Source organism: Homo sapiens, chromosome 5 (assembly GCF_000001405.40).
Source record: "Homo sapiens chromosome 5, GRCh38.p14 Primary Assembly".
Classification (NCBI taxonomy): domain Eukaryota; kingdom Metazoa; phylum Chordata; class Mammalia; order Primates; family Hominidae; genus Homo; species Homo sapiens.
Window position 1 is genome coordinate 14,422,409 of NC_000005.10, and position 19,337 is coordinate 14,441,745.

At 44.0% G+C, this 19,337-nt stretch overlaps 1 protein-coding gene across 11 annotated transcripts in view; it reads left to right on the plus strand.

Annotated features, from left to right (window-relative positions):
* The window catches only part of TRIO (trio Rho guanine nucleotide exchange factor), a 366,863-nt gene that overhangs the window by 279,067 nt on the left and 68,459 nt on the right, over nucleotides 1-19,337 (plus strand). The window lies entirely within an intron of this gene.

A 19,337-nucleotide genomic window follows, 5' to 3' on the forward strand; every position in this document is an offset into this window, starting at 1 on the left:
GTAATTTTTTCATAACACCCTGATCCAACTTTCACATTTTTATGTCAAATGTAAAAAACATGCCTATTAAGGTCAAATGACTATTTATTTGCTTGCGAATAATAAGCTGTTTTAAGGATTGCAATGAGTCTAATTACTCAGATCAGCCAAGAAGGGTCCAGGATCATGATGAGCCGTGCTCAGGTTCACGTGGTGGTTTTGAAGCTGGGCTAGACTTGGAAGTCTGTCGGACACTGAGAATCCATGGAATTTATGAAGACCAGATTTCTTTTATCGGCTATATATCCTTAAAATGATTTGGGAGAGGATAAAAATACAGCTTATTTTAAATGAACAAGAAATTCAATTACACAATTTGTTTTTCAAGGAGATAATTTTGTGTCTGAAACAAGACTCTGCTGTGAACATCATTCCATTGAGAAATGCTATCTTGTGGCCAGGTGCGGTGGCACACACCTGTCATCACAGCTGCTCAAGAGGCTGAGGTGGGAGGATCGCTTGAGGCCAGCATTTTAAAACCAGCCTGGGTATCATAGCAAGACCCAGTCTCTTTAAAAAATGCCATCTGTTTTGTGGACGAAGTTTGCTTTGGAAGCTTGCATGTCCCGGTGTCCTTTGGGCCGGCCAGCCTTCGTGTCTGATGGCGCCTTCTGCTCTTGCTCTGGCTGTCCTTCCTCCGTCTCAGCATCTTGGTCATGAATTAAACAGACGCCGGGCATAGCAGGATTGAATAAGGGTTCAGCAAACCCTTGTGCTCCAGCAGTCTTATTTGTGTTTGTCGTTTATGCTGTCTGCCGTTACCTCAGAGGCTCTGGGGCTGGGGCCTAGGCCTGGAGGCTGTGTCTGTGCCCCCAGCGAGTCTCTTCTGCATTCTGGGCTGAGGCCCACTCACCTCCCTTCACTCTCTTCCACTCGAGTGTGTAGTACGTGGGCTCACTGTTGAAATCGGTGTCACGTCACCATTGTTGATGGCTCAGTAAATCCAAGTTCTCTTTCCTTCCCATTGTCTCAACTTGTAAAACTTGTCACTTTTATGTATTTATTGACAGTCTTGGTCACAGGAAGTAAACAGAAATGTCAAGAATGTGTATATTTCCAGTGAGGCCAGTTCAAAACATCCTCTTTGCCCTACGCTGCCCTGCTTTTTTCACCTTTTCCCTTTCTTCCCAACCAAGAGTCGCCCTACACAATGGTCCCTGGGGATTTAGCTCCAGTGTGATCGGAAGGAAAAGTAGCCAGGAAAAAGCAAAATAGTGTTGTCACAAACCTGGGCAAATGAGCGTCTCTCACTCTCTGCCGGATGCATTTCTGGAGTGCCTGGCATGAATCTTTTTGACTGATAGTGTTTTGAGGGTGGGACAGGAGTTCATACCCTGTCCTGGGGAGGGCCTTCCGTCACCCTCCCCACTCAGGACATCTGGAAAACCACCCCAGGGCCTGTGTCCCGCACTACTGCTGCCCAGAGCCTTTGCCATTCGAAGTTGAATCTGGAAGGCCCCTCTCAGACCCCATGGAATTTTTTTTTTTTTTTTTTTTTTTGCTGAAATAAGGCTTTAACCAGGAGTTTGAGACTACAGTGAGCTATGATCAAACCACTGCACTCCAGCCTGGACAACAGAGTGAGACCTCATCTCTAAAAAATAAATAAATAAATAAAATGAAATGGGCTTTAAGAAGAGACCTTTTGGTGGCAAGGGAGGAGTGAGTGGTGAGCTTGGAGGATGCGTTCTTCCTGTCAGGAGGCCTGAGATGGGGCGGGCGCAGGAGGCCTCCCAGGGTCTTGCCAGCTCTGACATTCTGAGTTCAGAGTTCTTAGAAGGCTTTATGAGCAAAGGCCGATTCAAAACTGCCGTTTCCTTACACCAACCCATCATGTGATGACAGGTGGCCTTTTTGCTTGTGCTTTCAAATATGTCTAGAAGAAAACACCCACTTATAAAAATTAACCTTTACCACTCTAAAAGGCATTCACAATTTTAAAGTTTTTTCTCCTTTGGATAGAGAAAAAGTATGGTTCAGTACCTGCATTTTATTTCGAAGAAGTTCAGAGTATGAGTCATCTGCAGTGAATGAGAAAATTAAAGGGAAAAAAAACATGAGAAATAAAACCTTTTGCTTGTGGGTGACTTGAGCCTCTAAACCCAGGGGCTTTAACTCAGGATGCTACGTTTTACTATGGTAAAATCTGTGCCAAAAACAGTCCCCCATAGTTTACCACAACTCCAGTGGGCACTACCAAGATCAGCTCTCAGGCTTGACCAGACTGGCTGCAGTAGTTAAGAGAAGACGCAGGGACTGTCTTTCGTAAGTGTAGTGATACATGATTGCTATTAATCAAATGGGGCATTTTTTTCTAACTCAAGTTAAAAATGAGAAAGAGACATATTTTCATTCGGAACTGTCCGAAATGTTGACTTTTCTGTGGGTCCACCCTGCTTTTCTCCAAGCTCTCCTTGCTTCTCTCCAAGCTCTCTCCCAAGGGTTTTCTTGTCCACCCGAATAGTTTACTTTTCCACTTGACTGTCTTAGCAACTTTTTCAAATCTGAAGTATTCAGATTCCCTCTCCCACCATCTCCCCACTTGTTCACCCAAGAACATGGCTAACGCACGTGAGGGTCTCTCCACTGCCCACCACAGTTTTTAAAAACTGGTAAACTCCACATAACAAAATGTATCATCTTAACCATTCTTAAGTCTACAGATCAGTGGCATTAAGTACCTTCACATTGTTATGCAGCCGTCATTACCATTCACATCTAGAATTCTTTTTTCCGTCTTACAGAACTGAACCTCTGTGCCCATGGAACAAAACCCTCCGCTCTCTCCTCCCAGCCCCTGGCACTGCCCCTTTCCTTTCTGTCTCCATGAGTTTGACTGTTGTAGGTGCCTCATGTGAGTAGAAAGTCATGTAGTCTTGTCCTTTTGGGACTGTTTATTTCTTGTAGAAGATTCCGTGTTCTGACTTTTGTCAGAATTTCCTTTCTTTTTAAGGCTGAATAGCATCCCCTTGTATGCAGATGCCACATTGAGTTCAACATTCATCTGCTGATGGGCACTTGGGTTGCTTCTGCCTTTTGACTCTTGTGAATAATGCTGCTATGAACATGGATGTACAAGTAATCTCTTCAAGTCCCTCCTTTCAGTCCTTCTGGGTGTATACCCAGAAATGCAATTGATGGATCATATGGTACTGTTGTCTGAATGTTTGCGTCCTTCCAAAATCCGTATGTTGAAATCTAACCGCCAATGTGATGGTATTAAGAGGTGGACTGTTGGGTGGTAATTAGATCATGAGGGCAGAGCCCTTGAGAATGGGATTACTACCCTTACAAAAGAGGCCCAGGGAGCCCTTTTGTCCTTCCGCCATGTGAGGGCACAGAAGGCACCGTCTTTGAGGAGCAGGCCCTCTTTAAATACTAACTCTGCCAGCGCCTGGATCTCAGACTTCCCAGCCTCGAAAACTGTCAGCAATAAATTTCTGTGCTTTATAAGTTATCCAGTTTAAGGTATTTTATTATAGCAGCAGGAATGGACTAAGACATATGGTAGTTCTACTTTTAATTTTTTGAGGCTGCCCACTCAGTTTTGTTAACTTTATCTCAATAATATATTTCAAGTATGTTCTCTTTTCATTTCTACCGTTACTCTTATCACCTGATCACCTGACCTCACTTCTTGCCCTTTTTCGTTTCACCTAAAACATAAATGTTACCATACTCTCTTGCTTAAATTTCTTTGGCGACTTTCTCTTGGTCAGAGAATAAAATTCAGCTTCCTCACATGTCCAACAAGACCTTTCGTCTCATAGACGCACATGTACACACACATGTGCACACACACGCACACCTATACACCTTCTCTTGGAGCTGTACATCAGGTAACATAGGGGCTTTTTTCCCTCTCACTCACCCCTACCTAATAGTCCCCGTCTCATTTCATCAAATACAAATACAAATCCTCATGGGAAAAATAAATGTATTCAGTGAGCTCATGGAAGGGAGGAGAGAGCAGAATAAATCTTGGTCTAGTTAGCAAGTATTTCCACACAGAGGCTCCCATCAGGTCAGCTGAAAAGTCCAGTTAGATGAACTCCAAGGAACGCTGAAGACCCACAAGGAACTGTCCAGGAACTCACTGAAAGCACCTTAAACAGATTGTAACAGGAATGATGATTGCAGATACACTGTTGAACTTAAAAATGGGATAGAGGAACTGCAGACAACACAGGTGTTTTAAACCGTAGGCTCGGTAGAGAAAGCAGCGAGTCTCCGCAGATGGCCGGCACTGAGAGCCAGCAAGAAGCGGAGGAGATGGGCCTTCAGCAGGGGGTTGCGGGGGGAGCTTTAAACTGAGCCCTGTAAACATGGCAGAACTGCTCAGTGGGAGACTCTCAGCACAGACGGTCATGGGGAAGTGAGTGCAGTTCATTTGTAATCTTGTTGTCGAGTTCTGGGTTTTTTTTGTTTGTTTCGTAACTTTAAAGGTATGCACTTTATATAGATTTATTTATTTGCTGGGACCGTTACTCAGAGTTCCTAGAAATGTACACAGCTTTTTTACCAGGGTTACTCCTCAGAATCACTTGTCACTTCTTTAAATGAATGAATGAATGTGCCAGGCCCTATGCCTGGAGGTTGGGAGCTTCATCTACATCACATTCTAACAGGTGACCACTGGGGTAAGCACTGTGTGACTGCAAAGCCAGGGTGTGTTTCCATCAACACCCAGATGACCGTGCCTATGTGCCCCTGTTGTCCTCCCTCCAGGACTGCCTCCTCACCCCACCCCTTTCTGCAGCTCCTCATCTAAACATCTCGCCTGGTGAGGTCACGGCTTAGCCTGTTGGCCAGTGGCCCCACCACCATCCTTCCCCCTGTGCAGATTGGAGGAGGCCAGGTCTCTCCCCTTAGCTCCTATGTCCCCTTCACCCCCCATGGCACAGATGAGACATTCACAGAGTTTGCAGATGATGGAAGAGAAGACTCCAGGTTGCCAGGTGTGTCCACTCTCAGGAACCCCCAGCCCAAGCCTCACTGCTCGTGTTCCCAGCCAACCCCAGCACGGGGGATACGCCGGTGCTGTTTCCCTGCTCAGAATACAACCAGTTACCAGAAACGACCTCACCCCTCCAACCACTTTCCAAGGTGCCAGGACAGAGAAGCCCTTCACTGGCCCACCCAGGGCAGTTGACAGAGGGATGCCCTCCTTGGAGGGGAGCCTCACCTCTACCCACAGGGCCGCGGCCTTGTCCTGGATTCTCACCGGGGCAGTCACGTCAGGATGGAGAGGTCCCATGTCAGCCAGTTCTTTGGTGGGGGTCATGTAGTCTGAAATGACCTGCCGATGGTCCAGGCTGAGCCAGGGAAGCCGAGCCTGGGTGCCTTTTTGGTGCCTACTCTGACTTGAGTTGGATTCATGCCACAGACCCACCTTCTTGAGCAACAACACATATAGCCACCAACACAAGAGCCAGCCACACACTGAGCAGAGAAAGTCCCTGTCGCCTCACCACCCAAAAACTCCAGCTTTGCAGAGACCAAGGTTCTTCTCTACCTTTGCAGAAGCCTCTGTGACCAAACCCGGAGCTTGCCCTTCTGAGGCCTCTAGCATTTCTCCAGGTGTTTTTCAGAGGACTTGGTTTAAATTTGTTCACCCCAAATGTGGTCTTTCCCGGATCATGAAAGGATCTGCCGCAAAGGTGAATCTGAGTCTCCTCAGAGTCATATGAGACTGAAACTGCTTATAACATTTCCGTGACCTAATAAGTCTTCCAAAAATGTAGGGTATTAAGAGTTTAGTGACATTAAAAAGTTTAGTCGAAAATATCGTGATTCAGGTATATTTAGACATTTGATTCATGCCAAATTGCCACTGTTATCAGAAAACACACCCCAAGCACATTAATGCCTAGATATTTCAAACCCTTTTCTGCCCACACATTCTTAAAAATAATATACTGAGAAATCTATATACAGGTTTTTTTTTAATTAGCTTGGAAAAGAGCAGTTGTATTCTGTTTGAACAGCTGCTAATGTCAATTCCTGTGGGAAGAAAGACCAAAGAACATGGAGTTACACCAAGAATTTTAAAACAAAGACGCTGTCCCTTTCCTGAGCACCGTGCAGCCAAGACTGAGAGATCAGTCTGAGACCTGTGATTAAGGAGTGTTTTCTACATAGCGTATAATTATGGAGCCACACAAGTGGGCCATTACTCTGTTGAGTGCTTCATGTTTGAGGTATTTTCGTGTTCCAACTTTACATTAAAGTGTTTATTAAAACAGGAAAAATCCACGAGCAGGTATTGACACTATCCATATTAGATCATCACAAAATTATATATATAGCAGAGTCATAAACAATGAGAAACGGTCTTCCCACACTTGCTTTAAATGGCCATGACCTAGTGTTTAGGGAAAGCAGTAAAATCAGCGAGGAGCTCGTGGGAAAAATGAGACGGGCCCTGAGGGGGTGACTCATGGGCCAAGCAGGGCCACACAGGTACCAGGCCGCCACGTCCTCTCCTGCCTCTCACTCTCTGGAGACTGGACTTCCTTTACTGCCTCCTTTCTGACATTTCCTAGACATCAGACTTTGCTACTTAGTACACAAACGGGGTTCCCTTTTAAATTTGTTCACTCTAGTTAGCATTTGCAGAAGCTGTGAAAAATTACAGAGAGATGATGTGTTGGGTAAGAGATGGTTTAAAAGTCCAGCTTGCTGTTTTTCATTAAGTGTCTTGAAAATGAGTAAGTGGCGTTCCTGGAGGGGAACAATCATATAATTCCGCAGGGTGGGTCTAAACTTGTTTTCTGATAGTGTTTAGCAGCTCATGGCTCTGAGGGCACCTGATAACACAGCAGCCAGGCGCTGATGAGAAGTGTGTGCCAGACAGACCCGAGTGTGGCTTGGCTCTTGCCTTATGTTCCTTTCTCTGTTCAGAGAAGCGTGAGATGAGATTTTGTGATTATATTGTACTCCTTGGGCTGACTTTCCCATGCACAGAATGTTTTACACATCCTGATAGCTGAGCTGAAAATGCAAAGAGAAGGGAAAATGCCTTAAATTGTTCTGGCTAATTTAGAAGCAGCAGGCCTTGGAAGTCTTTGTCCTGTGTCCCTGAACAAATCTTATGGGAGCTCTGGTACCTATGCCAGAAAATGCACATAGGCACAACACTTTTACATACACGTTCACACACCCCACCCATATGGAGAACTTTTTTCTAAATAAGAGAAAGAAAAATTTTAAGACTTACAAGTTATGTTTAGGTATTTTACATGGTTCAGAAAACAAGACATGAAGCGGTATAAACTGAGAAGTCTTGTTCCCACAACCCCACGTGCCAGGTACACATAACCATTTTTATTCACCTCTAGCTTGTGCTTCCAATGTTTGTTAGGCATATGTAAATAAGTGAATAGATAAGCATTTCTCCCTCCTTTTGCTGACATGAGTGGTGGCATGTTTTGCTCCTGGCTTTTATCCCTTGACCCCATTCCAGTACCTAGAGACCTGCTTCATTTTTTTAGATGTGTAATACTTCATGTGTGCGTGTGCCTTAGTGATTAACTCGTGCACTGTGCAGGGACATCGGGCTGGGATCAGTTTGTTCACTGATATATACAGCGCTGCGGGAGATACCCTCACATGTGTATCATTTGGTCCATGTGCAGGTGTGTCTGGAAGATAGAATTCTAGGCGTAGAATTGATAGGTTAAATGTATTTATAGGGAAAAAATCAATATAAAACTTTGCGTGTAATGATATTTGCGTGCTTTTTTTTTTAATTTTTTTACCCAAATAGCAAAAAAAAAAAAAAAAAAATTGTCCTTTTTGAATGGGCCTCTTTAAATCCATTCATATAAATTATATCTTGAGTCTCTGTGTGACCTGTCTGGGAGGTGAGGTTTGGATGGATGTTTTCCCACAGAATTACAAGAGCATGCAATGAAATATTTATGTAAATCATCTTTCATCAACATTTTTGCGCTTTTATTTTAGGGATTCTCCACATAACAAATAAATGGCAGTGATTTCCAAAGAGCAAGTAACTTCCCTTCCCTCAGTATGTATATAAAATAGCTTTCATGGTGCCCCATACGCCTTCCATCCTTGCAAAGTTCTTCGTGAATCCAAGCTATGCAGTTGCAAGAGATACATTCACAAGGCTGGGCTGTTGATGGCTCTCCTAGTGGGCCTTGGAGTCTCTGTATAATCTCCGCTCTTTCTGAAGGATTCAGTTTCTTACCACAAACATTTCACAGTGAATTTCGTTTTATTTTATTTTATTTTATTTTATTTTATTTTATTTATTTATTTACTGAGACAGAGTCTTGCTCTGTCACCCAGGCTGGAGTGCAGTGGCATGATCCCGGCTCACCGCAATCTCCGCCTCCCGAGTTCAAGGGATTCTCCTGCCTCAGCCTCCCGAGTAGCTGGGACCTCAGGCACCCGCCACCCTGACTAATTTTTATATTTTAAATGGAGGCGGAGTTTCACTATGTTGGCCAGGCGGGTCTTGAACTCCTGACCTCAGGTGATCCGCCTTCCTCGACTTCCCAAAGTGCTGGGATTACAGGCATGAGCCACTGCGCCTGGCCTGAATTTTGAATAAGACAGTTTTTAAAGCTCTCCCAAATCTAACTTCCTTCCTTCCTGACACTGTGGAAGAGTTTTGAAGGGGACAGAAAAAGGCATGGGGGTAGGAGGCTACCCTTTGAGCTCTTGCCCCTGTGGCCACCTCTCCCAGGAGAACATCCTCACGCCCCTTTCTGGGGTTCTGTGTGGCTCATGCTGGGCTGGCTGCCTGGGGCTTCTGAGACGTGTTCAGGGTCTGCCCTGCTTCATCGTGGTCTGACCAGCAGTGGCTGGAACACCTCAGACTTCAGGCAATTGGTCATTCCACATCACAGACTATTCAGGGGGCATCATCTTCCCGAAACCTTTCTAGCCAAACGTAGGACAGGGCCCCCAAAGTGTTTATTATTTGAAGGTCCTTTCAAACATTCGAGAGGACAGTAAACAGGCTCGTTTGCCTTGGCTGCATTGCACGGCGGCTCTGGAATTCTTTATTATTTTTGTCAAGAAATGAAGCCCTGTGTGTTCAATCTCATCTATTCTCTCCCCAACCCCTTTTCAGGAGTCTGTAGAATTTGAATGCTAGAGGGGAAGAATATTAAAGTTCTGTTCTTAGATATAGATGTGTTTCCTACTGTCTCAAAAACATTTAGATCATTTCAGTCCTGTATCATGGAGAAGATTATTAACAGAAGGGGGAGAAGGGTGTATTCATCTGCTGGCTGCCATAGCAAAATCCCAGAGCCTGGGGGATTAAACAACAGACATTTATTCTCTCACAGTTCTGCAAGCCAGAAGAAGTCTAGAAGGAGTCAGCAGGGTCGGCTTCCTCTGGGGCCTCTGTCCTTGGCTTGCAGATGGCCACCCTCTTGCTGATTCTCCATATAGCTGTCTATCTCCCTATTTCCTTTTCTGTAAGAACACCAGTCAGGTTGGATCAGCACCCACCCTAAGAGCCTCATTTTAATTTAATCACCTCCTTAAAAGACCTTGTTTCCAAATACAGTCACATTCTGAGATACTGGGGATTTGAACTTCAACATGGATTTTAGGGGGACACACTTCAGCCCATAGCAAGGGGGCCATTGGAGCCTTAAGAAATTAACAGTAGTAACAGAGAGCATGGGGTGCGGACTTGCCATTGCCAGCCACAGTGCTGTTCTCTATGTTCCACCCTCAAGATACCCTCATGACAACGTAGACATACACCATTATCATCCCCATTTTAGGGTAGGAAAAGGGAAGCACAGAAAAATCACGTAACCAAACATAGCAGGGGACGTAAAGTGAGATTTTCAAAGCAGCAGTCAGACTTAAGATAGCCACTGTACATACTGCTGTCTGTGCACGTTGGAAGAAACCTTTGGTGCAGGGAGGAAGCTGAAGCCCGTAGAGACAAACTCAGTTGCCCAAGGCCAGACATCGTTTATGGAAGAGCTAATTCTAGAACCTGGTGTCCTAAGTTCGCTGCACTCTGGCTTTGCCCATTCTTGAGAGGCCATGGGCCCTCCAACATTTCGTCTCTATGAAAAAGATCAAGTTTCAGATTTCCAGTTTGAATTGTGATCTAATAATTCCAAATGCATTCCACTGCCCAGAGAAGTCATCTTAATGGAAATCTTTTTTTCATCTTTGGGGGCCAGATTTCTCCTCTTCCTACTCCCCTAGTTGATTACAGAACTTTACTCACAATGAGCATGTTATGTATGAGTGAATAAATGGAAAAAGCAATCACAAAGGAAAAGCCATTTTTTCTTTATCAGTTTGCATCCAGGAGTAAAAGATTTTTGCCCCAAAACTATTATTCTGCCCCCTTTCCTAAATCAAAATCAGCTGCTTGTTCTCCTTTGCTCTTCCTTAAAGGAGCTGAAGAATTCAACTTCCTGTCAGCTCCCCGCCACCATCAACCCTGTGAATTTTAGCCCTATATCTCTCATTCTCTGAAGTTTAAGAGAAATGGGACATCAAAAGCACATGTTGGCAGTCAAGAGTTAGCTACATGGCTCTTAATTTTTTGAGCACTGTTGTTTTTGTTACTTTTTTGAGAAACACGATTTGTGAGGTTACCATATCACGTTGCAGTTCTGTAAATAATCCACAATGCTGGTGCAAACAGAGAATGTCACATAGTTAAAGTGAAATGTAAAAAAGGAGTATTTGAATGTTTGGTTTGTTAAAGAAAGAGAAAAACTCACATAGTTTGTGAAAAGATAGTAAATAAAGCAATGAAAAGGAGCCTATCGAATTCTTGGCACCCACATGAAGAGTTTGAATGCCTCCATAAAGGTGCTTTTGTGGATTGGCAACTGTGCTAGAAAGCAGCAGGAACTCCTGTGCTGAATGGAGCCCTAAGAAGCAGGGGTTTCGTCATCCCTTTCCCTCCAGAGCAGGAGGTATTATCTATGGGGTAAAGAAACCGGAGAAAACTTCCTCTGAACAGGAGTATCTTTGTGCATGGAACCTGAGAGACTCAATCCTGGTGGTGCAGCTGTGCTTGAAGCCAGCACTGTGGACATATTGTGCAGAGCGGAAACGCATGGGGAAGAAAACAAGGGCCAGGGAGGTGGCGAAAGGAAAACAGTCCAGAATTACTACTTTAAAAAAATGGTATGACATTTCAGGGGCCCAGCATCCTCAGCTGCAGAGCTGTGTGCTCCTTTTAATAATTGGGGTTTGAGGACTGACTTCAAGGTAGAATACTGAAATTTTATCAGTATTAATCAAGTCTCAGAAAACACTCCTGATTTTTAGAGGAAATTATAATATTCCTAATCATTATATCATTCAAGATCTAATCTCAGAATTCAGCTAATGTTGTTTTATATATCCAGTATTTTGATTTTGATTTTAAGGATCTTTTCATTCTATATTAATTGCTTAATTATAAATATATGTTTACTCAAAAAGCATCATAATTTCAATAGAAAGACTTCAGGTCCTTTGGCTCATCTTAATTTTAGCCTTAAGTATATTTCTAGTCTTCATTTTTAAAGCACCATTTGTATATTGATCCTTTTTACTGCTTTTGTTTTAGACTCCTTTTGGCAGAAATTACTTGTCTCATTTTTTATGGGCAGATTAATAACAGACACTTGAAATTGAAGTCCAAATTTTAAATATTTGAGAAATAATTGTTACAAGAGAAGGCTACATAAAAAGTAAATTTCGTGGGCATTAACTTTGACCATGACCATATGAGCTGCTTTTCAACTAATCTAAATAAAAATACTTTAATTTTCACGAAAATAAGATTGACTATTGTAATTTTGTTCATTCTTTTGTCCCACAAAAGTATGTGGAAAAATACATTTTGTATTGTGTTCCTTCAGTACATTTTTTTCGATAATCATAAACCCCTTTATTTACAGATCTTTAATTTGTCTGATACGTTTCTTTTTCTACAAAGATCTTCTCTGACTTTACCTACTTTTTTCTGGTAACTTTTTCATACTCTCAGTTTCTTTAGCTATTTGCATTTAAATAACACAACACTCAGTTTTTTTTTTATTTTTAAAAACAATTATGAAATAATTTTGGACCTACAGAAAAGTGACAAAAATAGTTCAGAGAATTTCTGTACACCCTGTACCCAGCTCCCCCAATAGTAACATCTCACATACGGTGATGAAAATCGGGCATGAACCCGAATGCAGTGCTCTTAACTAAGCCCTGGGCCTTATCCTGGATTTTGCTTTCATGTCCTCTCTCTGGCTTAATAGTCAATTAAGAATCCACATTGTATTTATTTAGGTTGATGCAAAAGTAATTGCAGTTTTTGCCATTTCAGTGGCAAAAGGCACAATTACTTTTGCACCGACTTAATAATTTCCCCCAATCTGTAGCAGCTCTTCAGTCTTTTTTCTTCTTCATGACCTTGACAATTTTAAGGCATACTGGTCCTTTCTGTCATAAGATGCCTCCCAATTTGAGTTTATCTAATAGTAAATAAAGCAGTGTTTTCTCTTAAATTTAGCTCATGCATGTTGGGCAAGAACAGCACTGATGCTATTGTGCCCTTCTCCGTGCATCACGTCAGGGGTACAGGGTATCCTGAGACGTCTCCCTGTCGGTGTGTGGACCTTGGTCACCTGGCTAAAGTAGTGTCGCAGGACTTTTCCTTAGTTCAGCTAAAGACAGGGTCCTCATCCATCCCATGGCCACGAAAATTTAGGCTTGCAGATGGTTTGAAGGCTGAGTACAGCAGGGTTTTATTGGGTGAAAAGGGAAAAAAAGGGGGAAAGAAGGATCCTCCACGAGGCCGGACTCCCTGCTAGAGCACCCGCAGTTTGAATCCCAGGTTCCACACAGGAAGAGGAGAAGCTGAGCTCCTCCCCGCTGCAAAGGGTGCAGACTTCCCGAGGCTCCACCACAATGTGCAGGCTGGTTGGAGTGTTTCCAGGGACCCCCTTTCACCTCACTGTCTCAGTAGCATCTGCAGCATTTCCCCCACTGTAAAGTTACTGTTTTTCTCTTTGTAATTAATAAATACCTTGTGGGGAAATATTTTTGAACTGTGCAATACTCTGTTTCTCATCCTACCTTTACCCTCTAATTTTGGCATCCCTCAGTAGTTCTTGCCTACAACACTATAGTGCTTACCTAATGGTATTTCATAGTTTCCTCATTCCTTCTGAATTTATCAGTTGGAATTCTTCTATAAGAGCTGTCCCTCTGCCATTCTTTACTTATATCAGTTGGAGTCGTGGATACTTATTGTGTGGATCATAACCCAGTGCTGTCATTGTTTTCTTCTTAGATTGTTCCAGCTGTGGCTATCAGGAGCCCTGTCTGTGAACTTCTGACGTGCTCCCAACTTGTTTTAGAGCACTCCTTTACTTTCTGGCACTATAGGATGTACCAGGCTCATATTGTATTTTGCCTGCCACAGTCCTGGAGTCAGCCATTTCTCCAAGAAGCCCTCCTGGTCCGTTTTGTTGGAGAATGGTCTTAGAAACTAAGGTTTGGGTGCTAGGTATGCTCATTGCTGTGTGTTGCCATGGCTTCAGGCCCTCTTAGCAGATGTGTGTGTACCAACCCATGCATACATAAACATCTGTATTTTCTGTTTCCCCTCCTCCATCCTCCCCTGCCCCCATCTCCGTCTCTTCTTGTATTCATCTGTTTTCACACTGCTGAGACTAGGCAATTTACAAAAGAAAGAGGTTTATTGGACTTACAGTTCCATGTGACTGGGGAGGCGTCACAATCTTGATGGAAGGCAAGGAGGAACAAGTCACATCTTACATGGATGGCAGCAGGCAAAGCAAGAGAGAGCTTGTGTAGGGGAACTCCTCTTTGTAAAACCGTCAGGTCTTATGAGACTTATTCACTGTCACAAGTACAGCACGGGAAAAACTTGCCCCCATGATTCAATTACTTCCCACCAGGTCCCTCCCACAACACGTGGGAATTCAAGATGAGATTTGGGTGGGGACACAGCCAAACCGTATCATTCCACCCCTGGTCCCTCCCAAATCTCATGTCATCACCTTTCAAAAGCAATCATACTTTCCAAACAGTCCCCCAAAGTCTTATTTCAGCAATAACTCAAAAGTCCACAGTCAAAAGTCTCATCCAAAACAAGGCAAGTCCCTTCCACCTATGAGCCTGTAAAATCAAAAGCAGGTTAGTTACTTCCTAGATACGATGGGGGTATAGATATTGGGTAAATACAGCCATTCCAAATGGAAGAAATTGGCCAAAACAAAGGGGCTACAGACCCCATGCAAGTCTGAAATCCAGCAGAGCAGTCAAATCTTAAAACTCAGAAATGATCTCCTTTGACTCCATGTCTCACATCCAGGTCACGCTGATAGGTGGGTTCCCATGGTCTTGGACAGCTCTGCCTCTGTGGCTTGGCAGGGCAAAGCCTCCCTCCTGGTTGCTTTCACGGACTGGCATTGTTTGCAGCTTTTCCAGGCTCACGGTGCAAGCTGTGTCAGTGGGTCTGCCATTCTGCGGGTCTGGAGGGTGGTGGCCCTCTTCTCACAGCTCCACTAGGCTCCTGTATGTGTGTGTATGACTTTACATCATACTGAAGTGTCTGCAATCTATCAACAAAGGCTTTATTCTAACCTTCTTCCTTTCCTCATTTGTAACCTCTTTCTTTGATAGTAAGACACTTGGATTTCATTCTCTGGAATGTGATTATTTGTTCCATCCTATTCTAAAAGTTCTTTTTTTCCCTCTCCTGTTTGGATATTGAATTTTTTACTAATTATGACTGTGAGACTCAGCTCCACCCATTCTCACTATAGTAGTTTCAGAATTGCTAACCCATACTCATGGAAGAAACTTACAGATTTTTTTTCCTTTGGTTTTACAGTATACAATCAAAAAGCTGTTTTTCAAAGTTAGGTTAGTTGTTTTCTTCCCCACCCACCTCGGGGTGATGTTGTTCAGCTGGGTTCATTGGTTTCTGCGTATTTATATTCCATTTGGAGTATAGTACCCCTCACACACTCATGCCCTGATGAGCTGTGCCTGGGGCAGCTGTAACAAAGTACCACACACTGCCTGGTTCAAACAACAGAAATTTATTTTCTGGAGACTGAGAGTTAGAGATCAGGGTGTCAGCAGAGTAGGTTTCTCCTGAGGCCTCTCTTCTTGGCTTGCAGAGGCAAGAACTTTCTTCTGTGCATGTCTGTGCCCTCATCTCCTCTTCCCGTGAGGACACCAGGCATATTGGATGAGGACCACCCCCCCCGCCCCAAGGACCTCATTTTAACTCTTTCACCTCTTTAAATTTCCGCCTCAAAGCACAGTCGCATTCCAAGGTCCAGGGCTTGGGACATCAGCATAGGAATTGGGGAATACACAGTTCAGCCCGTAATCCCACCATCCTGGTAGATTGTAATGATTTGGTTTGGGGCGATGTGAAATATGGCCATGATGTTAAGAGTCAGTGCCCAATTTGCTTGACATAGATATCACCCTTTTGTTCCTTCCCAGCATCTCTAGCTTTGGTCCTCAGAGACAAACGTTATGTCCTTAAAGCAGCACTATCTTGATGGATCTTCTGTTCTCTCTGTGACATTTTAAATTGTGTGTCCAGCCATCAAAGTAAAATGTCAAAAATTATCAAAAATACCAAAAAACAGAAGTTCTTGTTTTCCTTCACAAACTCCGTTAAATTTCTACATTACACGTGTTCTCTTCCGCCAAGTGCCTGTGACGTTTGTCTCTGACCCACCCCATTCGCTCCATTTTCACATCTCTCTCCTTTCTTTGCAAAATTCAACTCCATCTGCACTAAACCTGTCTCACTGTTTCATTCCTTTTCGAGGTCCTGTTCATTGACAATTCAGGCTTCTGACATCATTTCCTGACCCCCTTTACTTACTTGCTAATGTTCTCACACGGCAGATAGACTCATTCAGCAGATCAAATGAGGTTTAAGACTCAAAGCTTTAACCTCATTGTCCCCTTTCTCAAGCCTTTCAGTAGCTTCCAGTTTCCTTTCTGGTTACATCACATTGTCGCTTCTGTAATTTGTTCCCAGTTAACCAAGTCACCCACCTGTTTTCACCTCCTTCTCCTTCCCACCCTCACGGCCATGGTTTTGAACCAGGGTTTCTTCCCACGGTCTGTTGAGGTCACTAACCCCTGTGTCGTCTTCTCCTGAACCGAGTCTGTTCAGATTCTCAGACCAGATCCCTGGCCATGCCACCATGGTAGAAATAGGCCTTGGCGTCAAAACTTATTTCCAGGGAAATTTTGCCAGTGATTTGGACTTCCTTCCTTTCCTTTTGCCTCGCCTCCTCTCCCATCGGTCATTTACTCACCTCCGCATTTCCGCTGGTTCCGCGTTTCTGTCTAGTGGCTCAGGTTGTCGCCCTTCAGGGCATGCCTTTAATTGAGATAATTTCTCTTTACTTACTGTATAAAATGCCCTGTCCCATCTGACACGCTCTGCAGTCTCTCACCTACATGACTGGAAGGAGGGAGGGGACCCAGAAGGCGTCTTCCTTCCTCACTCCCTCATCTGTGCGATGCTACACCTCTGACAGATGTGAACTTGAGGGTTTTTTTTTGTTTTTGTTTGTTTGTTTGAGATGGAGTCTGTCACCTAGGCTAGAGTGCAATGGCACAATCTCAGCTCACTGCATCCTCCACCTCCTGGGTTCAAGCGATTCTCCTGCCTCAGCCTCCTGAGTAGCTGGGATTATAAGCATGTGCCGTCATGCCTAGCTAATTTTTGTATTTTTAATAGAGATGGGGTTTCACCATGTTGGCCAGGCTAGTCTCGAACTCCTGACCTCATGATCCACCTGCCTCAGCCTCCCAAAGTGTTGGGATTACAGGCATGAGCCACCGCGCCTGGCCCAAACTTGAGATTTGAAGTGATCAGTCCCTAGGGAAATTTCCCATACATCTTTAGCCAAAATTATTGTACTCATTTTTAAGCTTAATCCTCTTTTCTTTCATAGAGAACTTATATTACACATAAAGTAATTAAATTCCCTGACAGCTCTTTTTTAGTTTTTAAATTAATGGCCCATGTTGGCAGTCCGTATTTTGGAAAGGGACAAAGTCAACTTTTTAATAACGGTTGTAGTAACTGAAACCTTAGAATGTCAATTAACTTGATTTCCTTTAGGTCATAATTTTTAGTGCTTTTTGCTAACAAAAGAGGAGGTTATTTATTTGGCAATAAAGTTGTCTTCTCTTACATAAAATGTGCTCTGTGCAGAACTCTGCCTCTCGCTGGGTCCTGGCATAAGTACACCATCTGGATCTATCACGGGACCGTTTAAAGGGAAAAACAACCTTACGCTTTGCTTTTGGTGTTTTAAGAAGAATATGAAGCCTAACGTGGGCCCATAAATGCCAGACTCCCCTCTGCAGCAGTTGGTGAGAGAGCCGTTGGAGCGCCTGAGACAGTTTTCTCTGGGTGCCCTGGATATAGCATCTTGATTTTTATAGTAGTTAATTGTCTTAAACTCAGAAAGAAACTAGAAGTCTGTGCTGTTTTCACGTTCTTTTTCCTTTGAGGATTTTAAAATTTTATTATGCAACAAATGTGGAGGTGGGGACAAAACCAAAATTTTAACTTTTTTTTAACTGAGGAAGTAAAAAAAGGCAACATTCTTCTTAGCAAAGCCATAAAAAACAGCACAAATAAAATTGTTTATACTGTCAAGTTAGATAAAGCAGACATGAGAAAAATTATTAATATAAAGAATTCAAGATAGTACATGTTTTCTTAAGGTTCAACAAAGAACACTTCCTCAAAGAAATTGTAAGCAGCTCAGAGCCACACTACAGGTTGAGATATGTGGCGAATATTCCAGGTGACTTTTCGTCAGACCAAGGCAAGGGCATCCAGGTCTAGTGTGGAGGGCACCGAGGAACAGGGGAGCGCACACACACCACAGAAGCTGGAAGTCAGACCCGACAGTTCCCACGCAGTGGACATTCTCCTCTGAAGCCATTGTGTGGTGTGGGACAAGGGAGCGAACATATGGAAACTTTCAAAGAGAGAGTAAGAATGTTTCTCCGCTAAGGAAAAGATCCAATTTCCAAGGAAGACAAGAAAGAACTTCTAAGATACGCTTTCCTAAAAACTCCTTATAGTTCGCATGCAAGAATTTACATTTTCAGTTCTCTGGCTGCTTCCTGTGAGGAAGAATGAAGATATGTTTTTAATAAGTGAGGAGCGGCATTACAGCACAGTGATGTAACCAGTTGGCTATTAGGCCGCATTACATTTCTTTTTTTTTATCAAGTCACATCAGGAGGTGCTGTTTGGTGTGTGAGTCTCAGGGCGGACCTCCCTCCAGATGTACACAAAGCCCAAGTCAGGGAAGCCATTCAGAACGGCCTGCGTGGGGAGGGCAACTGTCACTTCACATTTCACTGAGTAAGGAAATTGCAGCTCTGGCTAGTGCAGGCGGGGAGAGACATCTGGTTTCCAGGGTGCCTGAAGAATTTCCTTGAGCTCCAATTAGAGTCAGTGTGGTAGAATGAAATCCACCGCGTCTGGGTATTCCCACTTGTGAAACCCAACTGCAGCGCGCGCGCGCGCGCTCAGACGCCAGCGAGGGAGAGGCGCGCGCTGGGCCGGGCCGTGGGCTGGCGCCGGCCGCTGAGCAACACGCTGCCAGTCTGTGTGCCTGTCCCTGTCGCGTCCCAGTCTGTGTCTGAGTGTCTGTTTAGCTGGTCGCTGCTTTTGCTGCCAAGCGGGTGGCTCTAGCTGCTGTGGAGGGAGAGGTAGGATAGGGGTTCTGCACCTTTAGCCTCCAGTCGGCTCCAGTCACCATGCCCAACGGATTGAAGCCAGTGGACACGCTGGACTCGCTGTCCTCTGTCAGTTCAGCCTACTGCAGCGGCGGGCAGCCGGGCACCTGCAAGTACTGGATCCTCGACCTAGGTACACAAGCTCTCTGCAGATGCTCGGGCTGGCGCTGCTTTCTCTCTGCCTGCTTTCTTTCCAGTGGCTGCGCAGTGATTGACATGTGCTTTAAAACAGAAATGTTTTGTGCTTGGAACCTGAAACGTGTTCCGTGGTGACCACCTTGGGAGGGGGCTGTGTCTGGGAGATGGTTTATGGGGGGGCCACTGGGAATGTGAGGAGCAACTGGGAACAGAGCACTGCACATCCATTGTGTGTTGTAAGACCTTTTTAATATCTGGGGACTGCTTTTTATTATCCCTTTTTCTTATAAATGGCATGTAAAGAGTGTAAAGTAATCTGTGCTACAAATTGCCTTATGATTTTAGTTGGCTTTATGTCTGTTTCAGGTTTAATTTTGTTT